General features: G+C 38.8%; 1 annotated feature.

Moving 5' to 3' along the window:
* Window positions 3,825-4,427: an enhancer, noted in NCBI's record as "OCT4-NANOG-H3K27ac hESC enhancer chrX:92083741-92084343 (GRCh37/hg19 assembly coordinates)". NCBI's record gives its function as "activates a minimal SCP1, AML or CMV promoter by ChIP-STARR-seq in naive and primed H9 embryonic stem cells {active_cell/tissue: H9 hESC(naive and primed)}" and the evidence as "EXISTENCE:reporter gene assay evidence [ECO:0000049][PMID:30033119]".

The following is a 22,795-nucleotide window of genomic DNA, read 5'->3' on the forward strand; positions in this document are numbered from 1 at the left end:
GGGAGATCAATCCCCTGTCCTCCTGTTCTTTGCTCCGTGAGAAAGATCCACCTAGGACCTCAGGTCCTCAGACCGACCAGCCCAAGAAACATCTCACCAATTTCAAATCCGGTAAGCAGCCTCTTTTTACTCTCTTCTCCAACCTCCTTCACTATCCCTCAACCTCTTTCTCCTTTCAATCTTGGTGCCACACTTCAAGCTCTCTCTTCTCTTAATTTCAATTCCTTTCATTTTCTGGTAGAGACAAAGGAGACATGTTTTATCCATGGACCCAAAACTCCGGCGCCGGTCACGGACTGGGAAGGCAGCCTTCCCTTGGTGTTTAATCATTGCAGGGATGCCTCTCTGATTATACACTCACGTTTCAAGGGTGTCAGACCACGCAGGGAGGCCTGCCTTGCTCCTTCACCCTTAGCAGCAAGTCCCGCTTTTCTGGGGAAGGGGCAAATACCCCTCAACCCCTTCTCTCCTTGTCTCTAACCCTTCTCTGCTTTTCTGGGGCAGGGGCAAATACCCCTCAACCCCCTCTCCTTCACCCTTAGCGGCAAGTCCCACTTTCCTGGGGCAGGGGCAAGTACCCCTCAACCCCTTCTCCTTCACCCTTAGCGGCAAGTCCTGCTTTCCTAGGCGGCAAGAACCCCCCAATTGCTTATTTCCACACCCCAACCTCTTATCTCTGTGCCCCAATCCCTTATTTCCACGCCCCAATCTCTTATCTCTGTGCCCCAATCCCTTATTTCTGTGCCCCAACTCCTTCTCTGCTTTTCTGGAGGGCAAGAACCCCCCACCCCTTCTCCGTGTCTCTACTCTTTTCTCTGGGCTTGCCTCCTTCACTATGGGTAACCTTCCACCTTCCATTCCTCCTTCTTCTCCCTTAGCCTGTGTTCTCAAAAACTTAAAACCTCTTCAACTCACACCTGACCTAAAACCTAAATGCCTTATTTTCTTCTGCAATGCCACTTGACCCCAATACAAACTCGACAGTAGTTCTAAATAGCCAGAAAATGGCACTTTGAATTTTTCCATCCTGCAAAATCTAAATAATTCTTGTCATAAAATAGGCAAACGGTCTGAGGTGCCTGACGTCCAGGCATTCTTTTACACATCAGTCCCTTCCTAGTCTCTGTGCCCAGTGCAACTCATCCCAAATCTTCCTTCTTTCCCTCCCACCTGTCCCCTCAGTACCAACCCCAAGCGTCGCTGAGTCTTTCTAATCTTTCTTTTCTACAGACCCATCTGACCTCTCCCTTCCTCCCCAGGCTGCTCCTTGCCAGGCTGAGCTAGGTCCCAATTCTTCCTCAGGCTCCTCTCCTCCACCCTATAATCTTTTTATCACCTCCCCTCCTCACACCTGGTCCAGCTTACAGTTTCATTCCGTGACTAGCCCTCCCCCACCTGCCCAGCAATTTACTCTTAAAAAGGTGGCTGGAGCCAAAGCCATAGTCAAGGTTAATGCTCCTTTTTCTTTATCCCAAATCAGATAGTGTTTAGGCTTTTTCATCAAATATAAAAACCCAGCCCAGTTCATGGCTCGTTTGGCAGCAACCCTGAGAAGCTTTACAGCCCTAGACCCTAAAAGGTCAAAAGGCCGTCTTATTCTCAATATACATTACCCAATCTGCTCCCGACATTAAATAAAACTCCAAAAATTGGAATCTGGCCCTCAAACACAACAGGACTTAATTAACCTCACCTTCAAGGTGTACAATAACATAAAAAAGTTGCAACTCCTTGCCTCCACTGTGAGACAAACCCCAGCCACATATCCAGCACACAAGAACTTCCAAACGCCTGAACCGCAGTGGCCAGGCATTCCTCCAGAACCTCCTCCCCTAGGAGCTTGCTACACGTGCCAGAAATCTGGACACTGGGCCAAGGAATGCCCGCAGTCCGGGATTCCTCCTAAGCTGCGTCCCATCTGTGTGGGACCCCACTGAAAATCGGACTGTTCAACTCACCTGGCAGCCACTCCCAGAGCCCCTGGAACTCTGGCCCAAGGCTCTCTGACTGACTCCTTCCCAGATCTTCTCGGCTTAGCGGCTGAAGACTGACACTGCCCGATCGCCTCGGAAGCCCCCAGACCATCACGGACGCCGAGCTTTAGGTAACTTTCACAGTGGAAGGTAAGCCCATCCCCTTCTTAATCAATACAGAGGCTACCCACTCCACATTACCTTCTTTTCAAGGGCCTGTTTCCCTTGCCTCCATAACTGTTGTGGGTATTGACAGCCAGGCTTCTAAACCTCTTAAAACTCCCCAACTCTGTGCCAACTTAGACAATACTCTTTTATGCACTCTTTTTTAGTTATCTCCACCTGCCCAGTTCCCTTATTAGGCTGAGATATTTTAACCAAATTATCTGCTTCCCTGACTATTCCTGGACTATAGCCGCATCTCATTGCTGCCCTTCTTCCCAATCCAAAGCCTCCTTTGCGTCCTCCTCTTGTATTCCCCCACCTTAACCCACAAGTATAAGATACCTCTACTCCCTCCTTGGCGACCGATCATGCACCCCTTACCACCTCATTAAAACCTAATCACCCTTACGCCGCTCAACGCCAATATCCCATCCCACAGCATGCTGTAAAAGGATTAAAGCCTGTTAACACTCACCTGCTACAGCATGGGCTTCTAAAACCTATAAACTCTCCTTGCCATTCCCCCATTTTACCTGTCCTAAAAGCAGACAAGCCTTACAAGTTAGTTCAGAATCTGCGCTTTATCAACCGAATTGTTTTGCCTATCCACCCCGTGGTGCCAAACCCATATACTCTCCTATCCTCAATACCTCCCTCTACTACCCATTATTCTGTTCTAGATCTCAAACATGCTTTCTTTACTATTCCTTTGCACCCTTCATCCCAGCCTCTCTTTGTCTTCACTTAGACTGACCCTGACACCCATTAGGCTCAGCAAATTACCTGGGCTGTACTGCCGCAAGGCTTCACAGACAGCCCCCATTACTTCAGTCAAGCCCAAATTTCATCCTCATCTGTTACCTATTCGGCATAATTCTCAAAAAAACACACGTGCTCTCCCTGCTGATCGTGTCCGATTAATCTCCCAAACCTCAATCCCTTACAAAAGAATAAGGACTTTCCTTCCTAGGCATGGTTAGTGTGGTCAGAATTCTTACACAAGAGCCAGGACCACACTGTGTAGCCTTTCTGTCCAAACAACTTGACCTTACTGTTTTAGCCTAGCCCTCATGTCTGCGTGCAGCGGCTGCCACTGCTTTAATACTGTTAGAGGCCCTAAAAATCACAAACTATGCTCAACTCATTCTCTACATTTCTCATAACTTCCAAAATCTATTTTCTTCAGAATTCAGGCCTGTCCTCAGAATGCTACAAGGTACAGCCAATTTAAGCTCCCGTATAGACGCTCCTTTTTATTAGGCCCCAGTCTCATTCGACACCAGACCAACTTAGACTGTGCCCCAAAAAAACTTGTCATCCCTACCATCTTTTGTCTAGTCATACTCCTATTCACCGTTCTCAACTACGCATACATGCCCTGCTCTTGTTTACACTGCCGGTTTACACTGTTTCTCCAAGCCATCACAGCTGATATCTCCTGGTGCTATCCCCAAACTGCCACTCTAAACTCTTGAAGTAAATAAATAATCTTTACTGGCAGGACTATGCTGAATCTCCTTAGGCACTATACCTGTTTTTCTCCTTCTGTTATTCCATTTAGTTTTTCAATTCATACAAAACTGTATCCAGGCCATCACCAATCATTCTATACGACAAATGTTTCTTCTAACATCCCCACAATATCACCCCTTACCACAAGACCTCCCTTCAGCTTAATCTCTCCCACTCTAGGTTCCCACACCGCCCCTAATCCCGCTTGAAGCAGCCCTGAGGAACATCGCCCATTCTCTCTCCATATCACCCCCCAAAAATTTTCGCCACCCCAACACTTCAACACTATTTTGTTTTATTTCTCTTATTAATATAAGAAGGCAGGAATGTCAGGCCTCTGAGGCCAAGCCAAGCCATCGCATCCCCTGTGACTTGCACGTATAAGCCCAGATGGCCTGAAGTAACTGAAGAATCACAAAAGAAGTGAATATGCCCTGCCCCACCTTAACTGATGACATTCCACCACAAAGGAAGTGTAAATGGCCAGTCCTTGCCTTAAGTGATGACATTACCTTGTGAAAGTCCTTTTCCTGGCTCATCCTGGCTCAAAAAGCTCCCCCACTGAGCACCTTGCGACCCCCACTCCTGCCCGCCAGAGAACAAACCCCCTTTGACTGTAATTTTCCTTTACCTACCCAAATCCTATAAAATGGCCCCACCGTTATCTCCCTTTGCTGACTCTCTTTTCGGACTCAGCCCACCTGCACCCAGGTGAAATAAACAGCCATGTTGCTCACACAAAGCCTGTTTGGTGGTCTCTTCACACGGACGCGCATGAAACCTACTATGAGCTTTCCTTTGGTACCTGGGTGTAATCCCCAAGTTTTAGCATCCTTATAATTTGATAAGGCCATGCTTTCCCAGACCTCCTGCTCCATGAACTTTAATGACAGGAACTGGGGACTGGGTGGGTTTCCTTTGCCCTTAGTCAGTTGAATAGGGGAAGGGAAGAATTTAGCATAAGTAAAGAAGGTTTAAGTCACCTGAAACATATGCAAGTTTTCTCCGGGGTGCACAGCACACAGAGATCAGGGACCACACCCAGAAAAGAATTTTAAAAACAGTCTAGGGCAATTATTCCTATTCATTTACAGGCCTTCGGGCAATACCAGGGAGTGACCCCAGCCAGTTGCCCTCAATTTCCAAGGAGCCACTAAGAAACAGCCACTGAAAGACTGAAAAAGAAAGAAAGGAAAAAAAAAAAACTGGAAAAAGTCCCAGCTCCTTTAAGCGAATTTAGTGGTGGCAGTTAGCTTCTTCCACATGGAAACCACTTAGTTTCCCTGGCCACGGACAGAAACCTGCAGTTGCTGCTGAGTTTAGGCGCTGCCCACCAACGGTCCCGAGATGGAAAGGAAAGTAGTGACAGATTCCCCTGTATGAAGCAGAAAGGAAAGGGAGAAAAATGAATCCCAAACTTTGGGCTTACCTTTTCCTCCTGGCTAGCTTGCCAAAATATTTCACTGGTGGACAGTGTCCAGGTTCTTGGCATATTGAACAAAGAATCGGATAAAACACACAAACAATGCAAGGAAGAATGAAGGGATTTATTGAAAATGAAAGTACACTCCACGGTGTGGGAGCGGACCCGCGCATAGGGGCTCAAGGGCCTCATTACAGAATTTTTGGGAGTTGAAATACCCTCTAGCAGATTCCATTGGTTACTTCGAGTATGCCCTATGTAAATGGAGAGGATGAAGCAAAGTTACAAAGTCGCTTACTTGGCCTATGCCTATGAGGAGGATATTTCCTGTCATAGCTGAAGAGTGAATTGGCCTTATGTTCCCTGCTTTCATACCCTATTTTCCTGCCTCACTAGGACTTTAGCAGCAGGCACATTGACAAGTAGGCCATCTATCATCCTATCATTTAAAAAATATTTTTTTGGTCTAGTGCTTCTATAAATAGAGCACTTTAAATTGAAATATCTATATCTGATTTAAAGCTGTAAAAAATCGTTCCTCCTTTATGACAATTTTGGGTAAGTACTATCAAAATAATGAAACTCGGCTGGGTGCAGTGGCTCACACCTGTAATCCCAGCACTTTGGGAGGCCGAGGCGGACGGATCATGAGGTCAGGAGATCGAGACCATCCTGGCTAACACGGTGAAACCCCTTCTCTACTAAAAATACAAAAAATTAGCCGGGCGAGGTGGCGGGTGCCTGAAGTCCCAGCTACTCGGGAGGCTGAGGCAGGAGAATGGCGTGAACCCCGGGGGGGGCGGAGCCAGCAGTGAGCCGAGATTGCGCCACTGCACCACTCCAGCCTGGGCGACAGGGAGACTCCGTCTCAAAAAAAAAAAAAAAAAAAAAAATGAAACTTTCCTTTAGAGTAACTTCTCCCCTCCTCAAAGATGAATAAAGATTTCTTCCTTTTCTTTCCAAGCAGATGCAACATACACAGTTACAGTAGTGTTAGAGTGTGTTAGAACTAAATTGTGTCATAAAACTTTATACTGCACTGGTGTCATAAATGTCAAATGGGTACCACTGAGGACTAAGCTCTGCTTTTTTTTATCTTGCCCAAATTCCCATCTAAAGCACCTGGGAGTCATGCTGTACAAACCATAAACTCTCATGATATGGGTTTTATTTAACCCTATATGTTGTGACTTACTTTCCAATCTGATTGGCATAACGTTATATGACAAAAAAGGAAATAAAAATATTTTACCCCAAAACATGTTTCTTTGCCATATTTTGAAATGGCCCTGCAAAGCAGTCCTTTGTGGGAGAACATTTACACCTGTAAAGAATCTCTATTAACATAGTTAGAATTTTTTATTCCAGGCCCTCCCAATCCTGAAGAGATTAGCTGAGAGTCTAGCACCTTTTAAAGGTCTGAATAAGAAACACTTGTCATCTATTGTCTCTAAGAGCAGCCACTCTGAGACTTCAAAAGAACCTTGGTCTACACAATCTTTTATCTTAACCTTAACATTTCCTTTCTATTAATCCCAGGTCTTTAAACAAACTCAACCAATTGTCAACAAAAAATTTTTAAATTTACCTATAGCCTGGAAGCCCCCTGCTTTGAATTGTCCCACCTTTCTGGACCAAAGCAATGTATTTTTGAAATGTATTTGATTGATGGCTCATGCCTCCCTAAAATGTATAAAACCAAGCTGTGCCTCAACCACCTTGGGTACATGTTCTCAGGACCTCCTGAGGCCTGTATCATGGGCCATGATCACTCATATTTGGCTCAGAATAAATCTCTTCAAATATTTTAGTTTGACTCTTGTAATTGACATGCAACACATTCTAAAAGACTGCAATGAAATGCCAAGCAATAAGCAAACCCAAGAATCAAAATTGATACTTCAAAATGTTTCAACAGTCAAAGAATATAACTTAGGAAGAAAACATCCTTCAATTATTACACCAAAAAAGAAAAAAAGGAGATAGGTATTTAAAAGCAGTTTCTCATCATTTTTTTACTGTCAAAATGAGGGTGTGATATTTCAAGCAAATGACTAAACTTGAAAACAGTTGTTCAGTAAGAAAAATTTTGCTTGCTAGAGAAAAGAGAAATAACTAAAATAATTTCTGTAAAAGAATTTTACTTCCCAAGTTTCCATATATATCATTCTATCTATAATATTCTAATATTTATAAATTAATACCTTCAACAGTTTTAAAAACATCTTATAAGGTGTTTGTGTCATTGGACAATTTCTATTACTATTGCTATCACTAGTGATTTTCGGAGGTATTTCAGATTTACAGTAATTTGGTAAGTGTGTTAGGTTCATGATTAGTTACAAGAACAATTATCTTCTGTTTGAGATCAGTAGAGAAATTAATGCTTCAATGGACAAGAAACTTCATCTATAATTTTTATATGAAATAAATCTTATGAAGATTACTGGCTGCACAGACTAAGAAGTTGTGAGGAGACTATAGCACCAGTATTTCTATGTATGCAACATAATGGCAAATTTATAAAGTCTTTGCTAGTGATGATAGTTCTTTATCTTCCAGAGAAAATGTTACAGAAATTCATAAGGAATTTCAGAAAATGAATTCCCAAGAGAAGTTTCTCACAATGCTTTTTACATATCACCAGAAATACTGACTAGCCTGGACTTCCACATAATCATTGGGTCATCTTCCTTCATTCCTTTTCCCACACCTTGAAAACTGAAATCACAAAAGGACTCCTTTGAATTCCAGAATAAAGAGGTGTTATACTGAGAGTATTTCTGGTTTTGGCTATCCATCATTCTTTGTCTTCTTCAAGTAATAGTACCTTTATTTCCTTTTATAGGATTTCTTTTACCTCTCAGTCTTTAAGGGATAGTGAGTCAGATTTTCCATTCTTTTTTTAGCTACTTTGTGGTAAAAACATTCCAAGCTTGGCCAAGGATGGTGGCTCACGCCTATAATATCAACACTTTCTGAGGCTGAGTCTAGGAGTTTAAGAGCAGCCTTGGCAACAAAGTGAGACTACCATCTCTACAGGAAGAAAATGAGTTGTGTGTGGTGGCACATGCCTGTGGTCCCAGCTACACTGGAGGCTGAGGCAGGATGATCACCTGAGCCCAGAAGGTCAAGGCTACAATGAGCCATGACAGCGCCACTGCACTCCAGCCTGGGTGACAGAGTGAGACTCTTATCTCAGAAACAAACAAACAAAAAAATCCAAGCTTAAACAATTAGAGCCTCTCTTGAGCAGAGTGAAAAAGGAATAATAAAAATAGTTAGATTTAATTCATCCCAGCAGAAGCAGCATAGTATACCTGCTATGTAGATCACTAGAATTGCCCTTTTTGTGTCTAGTAATTCAGCTCTTCTTTTGAGTCTGAGGACTATACATCATTCACATAGGAAGATAGATAGATAGATAGATAGATAGATAGATAGATTTTTCTATTGCTTGAGTTATTCAAAGTCAATTTCTTTTTGCTTGCAAACAAAGGGACTAATTGTCAAAATGAATTATCATATTGCCCTGGCAAGGTCCTTGTCAGTGTTAAAACAAGATAAGGAATGTAAAACACTAGCATGGCGTATGTCTAAAAAGTGTCTAATAATAATGGCATTAATATTTATAATAGTTAACAAGAATTGAAGCTGACAGTACTGAGCACTTCACATGCATTATTTCACTTAATCCTCACTATGGATCTGTGGAGTAGATTCCAATTATCTCCATTTTATAGGTTAAAAAAAAGTCCAGAGAATGAGAAGCCCAAGCTAATGCAGCTGGTAAGTAGAGAGGCTGGGATTTGACACCTGGCAATCTTCAAATACACACATTTAAACATTGCATTCTGAAGGGTAGGTGGAGCAAGATGGCAAAATCAAAGTCTCCATCTATAGTCTCCCACAAGGACACCAATTTAACAACTATCTACATAGGAAAAACACCTTCAAAAGAACCAAATTTCATGTGAGCCCTCATGGTATCTGGTTTTAACTTCCTATCACTGAAAGAGGCAATAAAGAGATAGAAAATACAGTCCTGAATGACTGACACCACTGCTCCATGAGGTTGGGGGAGGGTGCTGGAGGAGGGAGAGCACAACAATTGTGAGACATTGAACTTAGTGCTCTGTGTTAGAGCAGAAAGGAAAACCAGACCAAAGTCAGCTGACAGCTGCCCACTGAGGAAGCATTTAAACCGACCCTAGCTAAAGGGAAATTGCAGATGCCAGCAGTCAAAACTTGGCCAACCCTGCCACCAAGGGCTACAGTGTTCTGTGTCTCCAAGTGAACTTGAAAGGCAGTCTAAGCCGTAAGGACTGCAACCATGGCGAGTCCTTGTGCTGACCTAGGTCCAGAGACAGTGGAATTGGAGGAACATGTGACTTACTGAGGCACCAGCTGGGGCAGCTGAGGGAGTGCCGGTATTAGGCCCTCCCCTAACCCCAGGCTACACAGCTTGCAGCTCCAAAAATGATCCCTTCTTTCAGCTCGAATAGAGGAAAGGGAAAAATGGGAAAGACATTTTTTGGGGGGGCAGGGGGGATCTAGGATACCAGCTCAGCCACAGCAGAACAGGGCATTGGTCAGAATCAAGAGGCCCCCATTCTGGGCCCTTGTTCCCAGATATTTTTAGACACACCCTGGAACAGAAGGAAACCTGCTGCCTTTAAAGAAAGAACCCAGCCCTGGCAGCATTCATCGCCTGTTAACTGAAGAGCCCTTAGGCTCTGAATAACCAGCAGCGATATTACATCTTGGGCCTTGGGTGAGCCTCTGAGATTTGCTGGCATCATGTTAGACTCAGCACATTACCAAATGTGGTGGCTAGAGGGCAAAACTCCTTCTGCTTGAAAAAAGCTGAGAGAAAAGTAAAGATGACACTTTCTTGCACCTTAAGAGCTAGTGCGGCCACAGGGGAGTAGAGCACTAATTAGGCTCTTGGGGTCCCAATTCCAGAATTTGACTCTTAGATGGCTTTTCTGCACATGCCCTGGGCCAGAGAGGTGGCCACTGCCCTGAATAGTGACTCCCAGGCTAGGCAGCATTCACTACTAGTCGACTTAAGATACCTTAGGCCTTAGGAGAACATTAGCAGTAGTCTGGCAATACCCCTCATGGTTTAGGGTGGCAGTGGCTATGGAGTGAGACTCCTCTGCCTCTGAAAAGGGGATGGAAGAGTGAGAAGAAATATGTTTTGTCTTTTGAGTGCCAGCTCAGCTGCAGTACAATAGAACACCAGGCAGACTTCTAATGTTTTTGGCTCTAGTCCCTGACTCCTCAGTGTCACCTGTGGACCCACACAGAGCCAGGGGAAACTCAATACACTGAAAGGAATGACACAGGCCTAGCTAGCTTTGCCATTGGCTGATTGTAGGGCCCCTGGGACTTGAGAGCATATAGACAGTAGCTAGGGAGTAGTTACTGCAGGCCTTGGGAGAGACTCACTGCTGTACTGGCTTCAGGTTTAACTCAGAGTAGTCATAGTAGTTGTGGCCACAGGTGCACTTGTGTCACTCTTCCACCAGCTTTATGTGGATCAGAACAATGATAGAGACTGTTTGAGAGAAAGTAAGGGAAGGAAGCAAGAGTCTCTTTCTTGTAAACCAGAGAATTCTCCCAGATCTTCCCAAGACCATCAAGGCAGTACCTCTACAAATCTGCAAAAACCACAATGTTACTGGGCTTAGGGTGTCCTCTAAAGCTGATAAAGCTTGGATCATAGCACACAAGTCCTACCAAGTATCTGGAAAGCCTTCCCCAGGAGGAGTACAAACAAGCCCAGAGAGTAAAGACTAAATAAATACCTAACTCTTCAAAAACCAGACACCAAAAAGCATCTACTAGCATCAACAGCATCCAGGAAAGTATGACCTCAACTAATTAACTAAATAAGGCACTAGGAACCAATCCTGTAGAAAAGGAGATGTGTGACTTTTCAGACAGAGAATTCAAAATAGCTGTGTTGAGGAAACCGAAATAAATTCAAAATATCACAGAGAAGAAATTTAGAATTCTATAAGATACATTTAACAAAAAGAAGAATAATTAAAATGAAACACAAATTCTGAAACTGAAAAATGCAATTGGCATACTGAAGAATGCATCAGAACTTTTTAATAGCAGAATTGATCAAGAAGAAGAAAGAATTAGTGAGCTTGAAGACAAGCAATTTGAGAACACAAGACCTGAGGAGATAAAAGAGAAAATAATAAAAAACTATGAAGTATGCTATTCAGAATCTAGAAAATAGCCTCAAATGGGCAAATTTAAGAGTTATTGGGTTTAAAGAAGAGGTAGAGAAAGAGACGGGTAAAATGTTTATTCAAGAGAAAAATAACATAGAACTTCCCACAGCAAGAAAAGATATCAAAATCTAAGTACAGGAAGCTTATAAAACACCAAGCAAATTTAACCAAAAGAAGACTACATAAAGGTATTTAATAATCTAACTTCCAAAGATTAAAGATAAAATAAAAGGATTCTAAAAACAGCAAGAGAAAAGAAGCAAATAACATACAATGAAACTTTAATAATTCTGGCATCAGACTTTTCAATGAAAAACTTACAGACAAGGAGAGTGTGCCATGACAAATTTAAAGTGCTAAAAATCAAAAACCTCTTACCCTAGAATAATATACCCAGCAAAAATATCCTTCAAACATGGAGGAGAAATACTTTCCCAGACAAACAAAAGCTGAGAGATTTCACCAACACCAGACTTGTACTACAAGAAATTCTAAAGAGAGTACTTCAATCAGAAAGAAAAGTACATTAATGAGCAATAAATGTCTTGAAACCAATGACAATGGAGACACAACATACAAAGACCTATGGGATACAGTGAAAGTAGTAATAAGAGAAAACTTCTTAGCCATAAGTGCCTACAACAAAAAAGAGGAAAGACTTCAAATACACAATCTAATGACGCATCTTAAAGAACTAGAAAAGCAACAGCAAACCAAACCTAAAATTAGTAAAAGAAAAGAAAAAATAAAGATCGGAACAGAAATAAAGGAAATTGGAATGAAGAAAACAATACAAGAGATAATGAAACAAAAAGGTGGTTTATTGAAAAGTTAAACAAAAAGACAAATCTCTAGCCATACTAACTAAGGAAAAAAAGGGAGAATCCAAATAAAATAAGAAATGAAAAAGGGGAAATTATAACTGATACTGCAGAAATTCAAAGGATTATGAGTGGGTACTATGAGCAACTATATGCCAATAAATTGGAAAATCTAAAAGAAATGAACAAATTCCTAGACACATACAACCTACCAAGATTGAAACAGGAAAAGTCCAAAACCAGAACAGACTAATAACAAGTAATGAGATCAAAGCCATAATAAAAACACTTTCAGTAAAGAAAAGCCTGGGACCTTATGGTGTCACTGCTGTATTCTACCAAACATATAAATAAGTACTTACAGCAATCCTACTCAAACTATTTTGGAAAATATGGAAGGAAGGAATACTTCTAAACTCATTATAATGGGTCAGTATTACCCTGATACCAAAACCAGACAAAGACACTTTCAAAAAAGAAGACTACAGGCCAATATCTCTGACAAATATTGATGCAAAAATCTTCAAAAAAATACTGACAAACAAAATTTATGAAGAATTCAGAAAGATCATTCATCACGACCAAGTGAGATTTATTCCTGGGATACAATGGTGGTTCAACATAGGCAAATCAATCAATGTGATACATTATATCAACAGAATGAAGGACAAAAGCCATATGATTCTTTCAATTGATGCTGAAAAAGCATTTAATAAAATTCAACATCTTTTCATCATAAAAATTCTAAGAAAACTGGTTACAGATGGAACATACCTCAACATATTAAAAGCCATTTATGTGGGATCCATAGGTAGTATTATACAAAATGGGGAAAAATGAAAGCCTTTCCTCTAAGATATGGACCACAACAAGGATGAACAGTTTCACAATTGTTACTCAATACAGTGCTGGAAGTCCTAGCTAGAACCATCAAAAAAAGAAAGATATAAAAGTCTTCCAAATTAGAAAGGAAGAAGTCAAATTATTCTTGTTTGCAGATGATGATTGTATGTTTGGAAAAATCTAAAGACTACAGAAGAAAACTATTAGAACTGATACATTCAGTAAATTTGTAAGATATAAAATGAATGTACAAAAATCAGTAGCTTTTCTATATGCCAACAGTGAAAAGTGAAAAAGAAATAAAAAGTACTCCCATTTACAATAGCCACACATAAAATTAAATACATAGGAATTAACTTAATCAAGGAAGTGAAAGTTCTCTGTAATAAAAACTATAAAACACAGATGAAAAAAGTTGAAAAAGACATCAGAAATTGGAAAAATATTCCATGTTCATGGATTGATAGAATCAATATTGTTAAAATGTCTATACTAACAAAAGCAATATACAGATTCAGTGCAATCTCTATCAAAATACCAATGACATTCGTCACAGAAATAGAAAAAAAATCTTAAAATTCATGTGAGACCACAAAAGACCCAGAATAGCCAAAACAGTTCTATGTAAACAAAGCAAAACAAAACAAAAACTGGAGGAATCACATTATTTGACTTCAAATTATACTATAGAGCTACCAAATATCATGATAATGGCATAAAAAAAGACTCACAGACCCACGAAATGGAGTGGGGAGCCCAGGAACAAATATGCACATCTTCACTGAACTCATTTTAAACAAAGGTGCCAAGCACATACACTGGTGAAAAGACAGTCTCTTCAACAAATGGTGCCAGGAAAACTGCATATCCATATGAAGAAGAATAAAACTAGACCCCTATCTCTTGCCATAACCAAAAATCAAATCGAAATGGATTAATTACTTAAATCTATGACCTTGAGCTATGTAACTGCTAAAAGAAAACATTGGAGAAACTTTCTATGACATTGGTGTGAGCAAAGAATTTATTGAGCAATACCCCACAAGCACAAGCAACCAAAGCAAAAATAGACAACTGGCGTCACATCAAGCTAAGAAACTTCTGCAAGCAAAAGAAACAATAACAAAGTGAAGAGACAACCCAGATAATGGGAGAAAACATTTGAAAACTACCCATCTGTATTAATCCATTTTCACACTGCTATAAAGAACTATCTGAGACTGGGTAATTTATGAAGAAAAGAGGTTTAATTTACTCACAAAACTGCAGGCTTAACAGGAAGCATGACTGGGAGGCCTCAGGAAATTGACAATTATGGCAGAGGTGAAGGGGAAGCAAGCAGCTTCTTCACATGGCAGCAGGAGAGAGAGAGAGAGAAGCAGGAAGTGCCACACAGTTTTGAACAATCAGGTGTCATAAGAATTCACTCACTATCATGAGAACAGCAAAGGGAAAATCCATCTCCATGATCCAATTTACTCCCATCAGACCCCTTCTCCAATTGAACATGAGATTTAGGTGGGGACACAAATTCAAACCACGTCATTCTGCCCCAGCCCCTCCCAAATTTCATATCCTTTTCCAATTGCAAAATACAATTATTCCTTCTTAACAGTACCCCAGTTTTAACTCATTTAAGCATTAAATTAAAAGTCCACAGTCCAAAGTCTTATCTGAGACAAGGTGATTCCCCTCTGCCTATGAGCCTGTAAAATCAAAAACAAGTTACTTACTTCCAAGATACAATGGGGGTTGAGGCATTGGGCAAATGCTTTTATTCCAAATGAAAGAGATTGGCCAAAACAAAGGAGATACAGGCCCCATGCAAGTCTGAAACCCAGCAGGGCAGTCATTAAATCTTAAAGCTCCAAAATGATCTCCTTTGATTCCATGTCTCACATTCAGGCCACACTGATGTAAGGGGTGGGCTCCCAAGACCTTGGGAAGCTCTGGCCCTGTAGCTTTGCAGGGTATAGCCCCTGTGGCTGCTTTCACAGCCTGGTGTTGAGTTCCTGTGACTTTTTGAGGCTCATGGTACTAGCTGTTGGTGTGTCTACCATTCGGGAACCTGGAGGATGGTGTCCCTCTTCTCACAGCTCCACTAGATAGTGTCTCAACTGGGACTCTGTGTGTGGGTTCCAATCCTACATTTCTCCTCCACACTGCCCTAGTAGAGGTTCTCCATGAGGAATCTGCCCCTGCAGCAGACTTCTGCCTGGACATTCAGGTGTCTCCATATATCCTCTGAAATCTAGGTGGAGGTTCCCAAACCCCAACTCTTGCCTTCTGCACACCTGCAGGGCCAATACCACATGGAAGCCTCCAAGACTTGGAGCTTGAACCCTCTGAAGCCATGGCCCGAGATGTACCTTGGCCTCTTTTAGCTGCCACTGGAGCTGGAGTAGCTTGGACACAGGATGCCATGTCTCAAGGCTGCACAGAGAGGCTGGGCCCTGTGCCAGGCCCATTAATCCCTTTTTTCCTCCTAGGTCTCCAGGCCTGTGGTGAGAGGGGATGCTGTGAAGGTCTCTGAAATGCCCTGGAGACATTTTCCCCATTGTCTTGGCTATTAACATTCAGCTCCTACTTGCTTTTGCAAATTTCTGCAGCAGGCTTGAATTTCTCCCCAGAAAATGGGTTTTCTTTTCTACCACATGGCTGAGCTGCAAATTTTCCAAGCTTTAATGTTCTGCTTCCCTTTTAAACATAAATTCCAGTTTCAGATAATCTCTGTTCATGCATATGAGTGTACACTTTTAGAAACAGCCAGGTCATGTCTTGAATGCTTTGCTGCTTAGAAATTTCTTCCACCAGATACCCAAAATCATCTCTATAAAGTTCAAAGTTCCACAGATCTCTAGGGCAGGGACAAAATTCTACCAGTCTCTTTTCTAAAGTATAGCAAGAGTCACTTTTACTCCAGTTCCCAATAAGTTTCTCATCTCCATCTGATACCAATTCAGCCTGTACTTCATTGTCCATATCACTATCAGCATTTTGGTAAAAACCATTTAGCAAATCTCTAAAAAGTTCCAAACTTTCCCACATCTTTCTGTCTTCTTCTGAACCCTCCAAACTGTTCCAACCTCTGCCTGTTACCCAGTTCCAAAGTTACTTCCACATTTTCAGGCATGTATATAGCAGTGCCCTACTCTTCTGGTACCAATTTTCTGTAATAGTCCATTTTCACAGTGCTATAAAGAACTAACTTGGACTAGGTAATATATGAAAAAAAGAGGTTTAGTTGACTCACGGTTCTGCAGGCTTAACAGGATGCATGAGTGGGAAGCCTCCAGAAACCTACAATCATGAAGGAAGGTGAAGAAGAAGCAAGCAGCTTCTTCACATGGAGGCAGGAGAGAGAGAGACAATGAAAGTGGAAGTGCCATACACTTTTAAACCATCAGATCTTGTGGGAACTCACTCATTATCACAATTTGCCGCCATGATCCAATTACCTTCCACCAGGTTCTTCCTCCAATTTGACATGAGATTTTGGTGGGGACACAAATCCAAACCATATCACCATCCAACAGGGGATTAATAACCAGAATACATAATGAGCTTATACAACTTTATGGGAAAAAAATCTAATAATCTCATCAAAAACGGGCAAAAGATTTAAATAGACCTTTCTCAAAAGGAGACATACGAATGGTAAACAGGTATATAAAAAGGTGTTCAATATCATGGATCATCAGTGAGATGCAAATCAAAATTACAATGAGATATCATCTCACCTTTTATCCAAAAGTCAGTCAGTAACAAATGGTGGCAAAGATATGGAGAAAAGGGACCCTCACACACTGTTGGTAGAAACGTAAATTAGTACAACCACTATAGAAAATATTTTGGAAGTTTCTCAAAAACCTAAAAATAGAGCTACCATATGATCCAGTAATCCCATGGCTGAGTATATACCCCCAAAAAAGGAAATCAGTATATCAAAGGGATATCTGCACTTTTATATTTGTTGCAGAACTGTTTACAATAGCTAAGATTTGGAAGCAACCTAAGTAAGTGTCCATCAACAGATGAATAAAGAAAATGTTGTACATATACACAATGGTGTACTATTAATTCATTGAAAAGAAGAGATCTAGTCATTTGCAACAACATGGATGAAACTGGAGATCATTATGTTAATGAAATAAGCCAGACACACACAGAAAGGCAAACATCACATGTTCTCACTTATTTGTGATATATGAAAATCTAAACAATTGAACTCATAAACATAGAGAGTAGAAAGATGGTTACTCGAGGCTGGGAGGAGTAGTGGGGCGCTGGCAGAAAGGTGGGGATGGTTAAGGGTACAAAATAAAATAGAAGAAATAAGACTTACTACTTGATAACACAACAGGGTGACTATAGTCAATAATAACTTAATTTTACATTTTGAAACAAAGAGTGAAATTGGATTGTTTATAACTCAAAAGATAAATTCTTGAGGGGATGAATATCCCATTTTTCATGACATGCTTATCTCAAATTTTATGCCTATAACAGAACATCTCGTGTTTCCCATAAGTATATACATCTACTCTGTATACACAAAAATTTAAAAAGAATATGTACATATACTCTCTGAATCCAAAATAAAAGTTGAAAAAGAAAATAAATAAAGATTGTATTCTAATTTTGTTCCTCATTTTCTTATGTGGCATTGAAGAACTCTTAATTGCTGAATCTGTTGTTGACAGTGTAGTATTGCCCTTACTGCCACGTGAGAAATGCTATACTCAGTACCTCTTTCTAACAAATAGCTTTGCCCAGTATTATTAAAGCATCACACTATTAATTAGTTCTCTGCTAGGTGTGGTGTTTCTTGATAGTTATGTGTTGCCTAACCTGTCCTATATCAACAACACTAATAGCAAATGATATTCCCAAAAACGTGTAGTTTCTTATCCTGTGTGCAAAGCAGGAGACATTTCAGTAACTGGATAAAACTGTGCCTTCACTACCAAATATATATTATTTCTGTTAAATAAAACAATCAGTATTTGATCTTTGGAATTATCATTATGTTTTTTGTGTAAATGGGAGTTTCATAGCTTTTATAAATGCAACATCTGCCTCAGTCTTGCTTAAGATTCTTCTAGGTTTCTTCCATAGCTACAGGCCTTTAAAAAATGATCCAAGTTTTTTATACTTCCTATGTAATAAAATTCTTTCGGATTAGTTGCTGAAGTAAACCAAATACAACATTACAAAAGCAGTAAGCAAGAAATTTTCCAATTGGCACCTTTAGTCTTTTTTCCTCTTATAGACTAGAATTCAGTGCTAACCAAGAAAAGCTATTTTTTTGAGATAGCATCTAGTCACTCTATGCTCACAAAACAAATAGTCAACCAGGAAAAGATACTGCTAGGTCCACTGTGGAGGGGAAGGGGTGATAATTAAATGTCGTTTTGAGTTGCAATCAGCCATGTCTTTTCTCTGTTGTCCTAAGGAAATTGTCTGCTCAAGTGATTCTTAAGCACACATAAAACACACTGCATAAAGCTTGGACTTAAAGTCATTAGTAGAATTACCTCCCAAGACAAATGAGATTTCAAAATGCCTCCAGGTCGTTCTTTGTCTTCAGACATTATAAAAACATACTTAAAATTTTAAGTAGCTCATTATTTTAAATGGATCTTCCATCCTTTCCAGTCAAAATAAACTTTACCCTTCTAATTTTGGAGAAGTCTGTGTGTATCTCTGGGATAAAACAAGAGATAACAGGCGATAAAGAATGTATGTATTGATGACTCAAAAATCTGCACGCCTTATTTTGTAATTGAAATGTTTAAAAAATGTTTTAGATATGTTTAGTTTCAAAATGATAGGTTTTCTCATTATAGCTTCAGGGGTCCTGTTTAATTGGCAAAGTCCAGCCTCATGTTCTGAGGATCATGATGCTTTCATGTCCTTCATGTCTTTCATACACACACACACACACACACACACACACACACACACACACAGAGTATATATATATGTATAATAAATAAATAAATATATATTTCAATTTGTTTTTCAGAGCTTTTATGTGGTTTCTATTGAGTTATTGTATTTACAGTATCGTAAAACATTTGGTGAAGTTTGATCTCAATCATAAACAAAAAATCTTATTTTTATTTTCAATGAGTGGTTATTGAACACCCACTGAGCAAGATTATGTGCTCAGTTCTGTTGGTACAAAATTGAATTGAACAATGATTCATACTCTGCCATAGCTTTGTAGTTAGTCATTATCCTGGCTCAATGGTTTTCCTCACACTATTTGTATGCTGCCACTACAAATTATATTCTGAGGCTCCTTTTCTATCTCGTCTACATGATGGAGATATCAAACTTTCTCCTTGTGTTTTTTGTTTGTTTGACACTGTTTTGAATTTTACCTCCATAAATCACTGAAATACCAAGGTCTAAGTTAAAAAAAAAATGAAAGTAGCAATCAGGAACCTAGGCTGTATTTGTAGTTCACTTTCTAATACACTGTACGAGTTTAGGTACATCTCAGCTGCTCATTTTCTTCATCTTCCTCATCGACCTCTCAAAACATTTACTGCATGGGTAAACTGAGACAATTACAGTATATATTTATTTATTTAGTTTGTTATATGAATTCTCTGAATCATAAGCAATTCTCTACAAGGACCTCAGCTCTATGAAGTCTAGCTGAGAATTAGCCAAATACTAGCCATCTTATGGCTACTTAACATTCGTTGAATGGAACCCATACAGGCCTTTCCCAGGTTAATGATGTTCTAGCATCTTTACAATGAATATATCACTTTATTTATCTCAGTCTTTTTTCCTTTTCTATTTTCACAAATTTATTGCCTTTTCTTTCCCCTTCTGCTCTCTTTATTTTCTGATTCTTACTTTATCTTAGACTTGTTAGTGATATTGCTTAAATTTTTGCAGACACTCAGAGTTCAACAAATTTTTTAACCATCAGAGGTTTCTAGATTAAATACAAGATTTCGTTAAATTTGATTTTAACAAACAATAAATAGTTTGTAGTATAAGTGTGTCCCATATAATATCAGTGAAAGTATTTTATATAGTAAAATATTATTTATCTGAATCTGTAATTTTATTGGGTATCATATATTTTTATTTGCTAAATCTAGAGTCCCTCGACCCCTCATTAGAACATTTTTTCTTATGTGGTTAAATACTATTATGTACATTTATTCTTTACTTTTCCCCAAAGTATTTTAATATTATTTCATAGTTGATAATATATGTTTTAAAAATATTACTTTATACTTATTTTACCATGATAATTTCATGTCTAAAACTGAATAGGCTTCCTCCTTCATTTCTGACTTCAGGACTCAAACCCAAAGCTTCATCTTATTCCTTCTTTACTGTCATCTCTTACATGCAAAAAGTTGCAAAGTCATTTTAATTCTTCGTAATTTATCTTGAATTCATCCATCCAATCCCACATTTCTCACTACTGTTGTGCCTTGTGTAGCATATTATCAAAAGTGTGAAAAACATACTTTTCAAATTTTTACATGATTCATCTTATGAAAGGGCAATTAATGCTGCAGCATAAGGAAACTGATATTCTTTGACTGATAGAAACATTAATAAAATGATATAAAGTAGAAGTAAATGGAATGTTCTACAGCTGTCATTTTTTTTAATCAGCTGCAAAAGTAGAATATGAGGAAAACCTTATTTGCAGTGCAATTTTGCATTGTCATTTTATTTTTCTTACATTAGTAATTATTAAAATTTTTTGAATACATACTATGTTTTACATACATTCTAATAATTGTCTCAGTCTCATGAGGTGATTACTAGCATTTTTTCTGTTTTATAGAAGAACCTGAAAATCAGAAAATTTAAATAACCATTCCAATTTCCTAGCACATTTTATAGAAACATTATTCATAGTAGCCAAAATCTGAAACAACTGAAATGTCCTATATCCACTTAATGGATAAGCTGGATTATATTCACACAATGGAATACTATACAGCAATAAAAAGTAGTTAACCACTGATACACAGAACAATTTGGATGAATATCAAAGGGGCTGAGTAAAAGAAACCAGTCTTCAAAGGTTACATATTGCATGACTCCATTTATATGACAGATTTGAAATGACAAAATTAGAGTGCTGAAGAACAGATCAGTGGTGTCCATTGGTTAGAGTTGGGGATAGAGTGTGATCATGAAGTAAGAGCATAAGGTAGTTTTGTTTTTTGAAGGATGGAAGTGTCCATATTCTGATGGTGGTGGCAGTTCCATAGATCTATATATGTCTTAAAATTTATAGAAATGTGCACTAAAAGAAAAATAAAATAAATTTTATTGGATAATAATTTTAATTTTTTTTAATTAAAAAAAATACACTGGTTTATTTTGGTATATATTTTAAAGTCAAGTTTCCAAACAAAACAAAATGCATTTTAATACAGGAGATTATAATGTAATGTTTGGTTTATAGGTATTTCTAGCAGAGATTGGATTTTATTTGTTGATTTAACTAAATGTATAGCACAGAGTTTATTTTGATATTTTTAACAACAAATTCAGAAACTTCCTAATTAGTCATATTTTTATACTCTAGAAAAAGAAAAAGAAAATACAGTAGCCATTAATATGGAAGTAAACGTGAAGGGTTAGGTGCTGGGATACACAATAATGCTAATGCTCTTTGCTCTTAAAGGGAAATAAAATAATATATAAAAATGAATTATGTGCATAAGTCCAAAAAAGATGTGGATAAACAGACTGGGGCATATTCATATAAAAGTATACCACTCATCAACTGAAAGGAACAACCTACAGAAACACACTCTATATTGACAGTTAGAAACCTGATGCTGAGTAAAAGATGCCAGCCTCAAGAGTTTGCACTGTCTGATTCCATTAATGTGAAATACAAGAACAAGCATAGCTGACCTATGGTCATAAAGATAAAAAAATAGTGACCCAGTTGGAGATGAGGTGGTAGATGTGAAAAGGGACAAGAGTGAACTTTCTGGGGCAATACAACTATTCTGTAACTTCTTGTGGAAGATGGTTACATGGTGTATACAATTGTCAGTATTCAAAACATGTAAGATCTGTGTATCTTTGTATGTAAATTATACTTTAATATATAACAATAGCATTTAATCATATAAGAAAATATTCAAAATACATTAAAGAATATAACAAGAGAATGTTAATAAAAAATAATTATATTCAATTTATATACTGCATCCAAACGGTAAAAAATAAGGATAATAATTTAAAAATTATGCACAACAGCAAAAGTTTGCACATTAAATGAGTCATTGAAGCCACACAATTTTAGACCACATTCTGGCTAATCCTCAATTTCTGTTTGTTTCTCTTCTTACTCCTTGGCTACACAAGAAAGTCACAAAATGTGTGGATTAGTTCAATACAAAAGTTATATATATATATATATATTTACAACTAAGAAATATTTACTGTTGACTCAAAGAGTATATAATGGCATTTCATTTAATTAGTTTTCTTTTTACTTAATATTAAGTCATTCCACACATTTTAATATGTCTAAAATACATTATTCCGTATGCTTGAGCTCAGGCTCATCCCTAGAATTTGCAGGACAAAAGAAAAAGTACAAATGAAAGCTTCTAATCCATACCCTACTCAATTTCTCTTCTGACATCTGGAACTATTTTCTACCCAGGAAACAAAGGTGTGGATTTTATTATCACTGCTGAGTCTATTGCAATCCCTCCATCTATTTTCCACCTTCATATAATAAAAATGTTGTTTCAGCAACATCCTGGTTTCATCAATTATGGGGTT

This window comes from Homo sapiens, chromosome X (assembly GCF_000001405.40).
Source record: "Homo sapiens chromosome X, GRCh38.p14 Primary Assembly".
Taxonomy (NCBI): domain Eukaryota; kingdom Metazoa; phylum Chordata; class Mammalia; order Primates; family Hominidae; genus Homo; species Homo sapiens.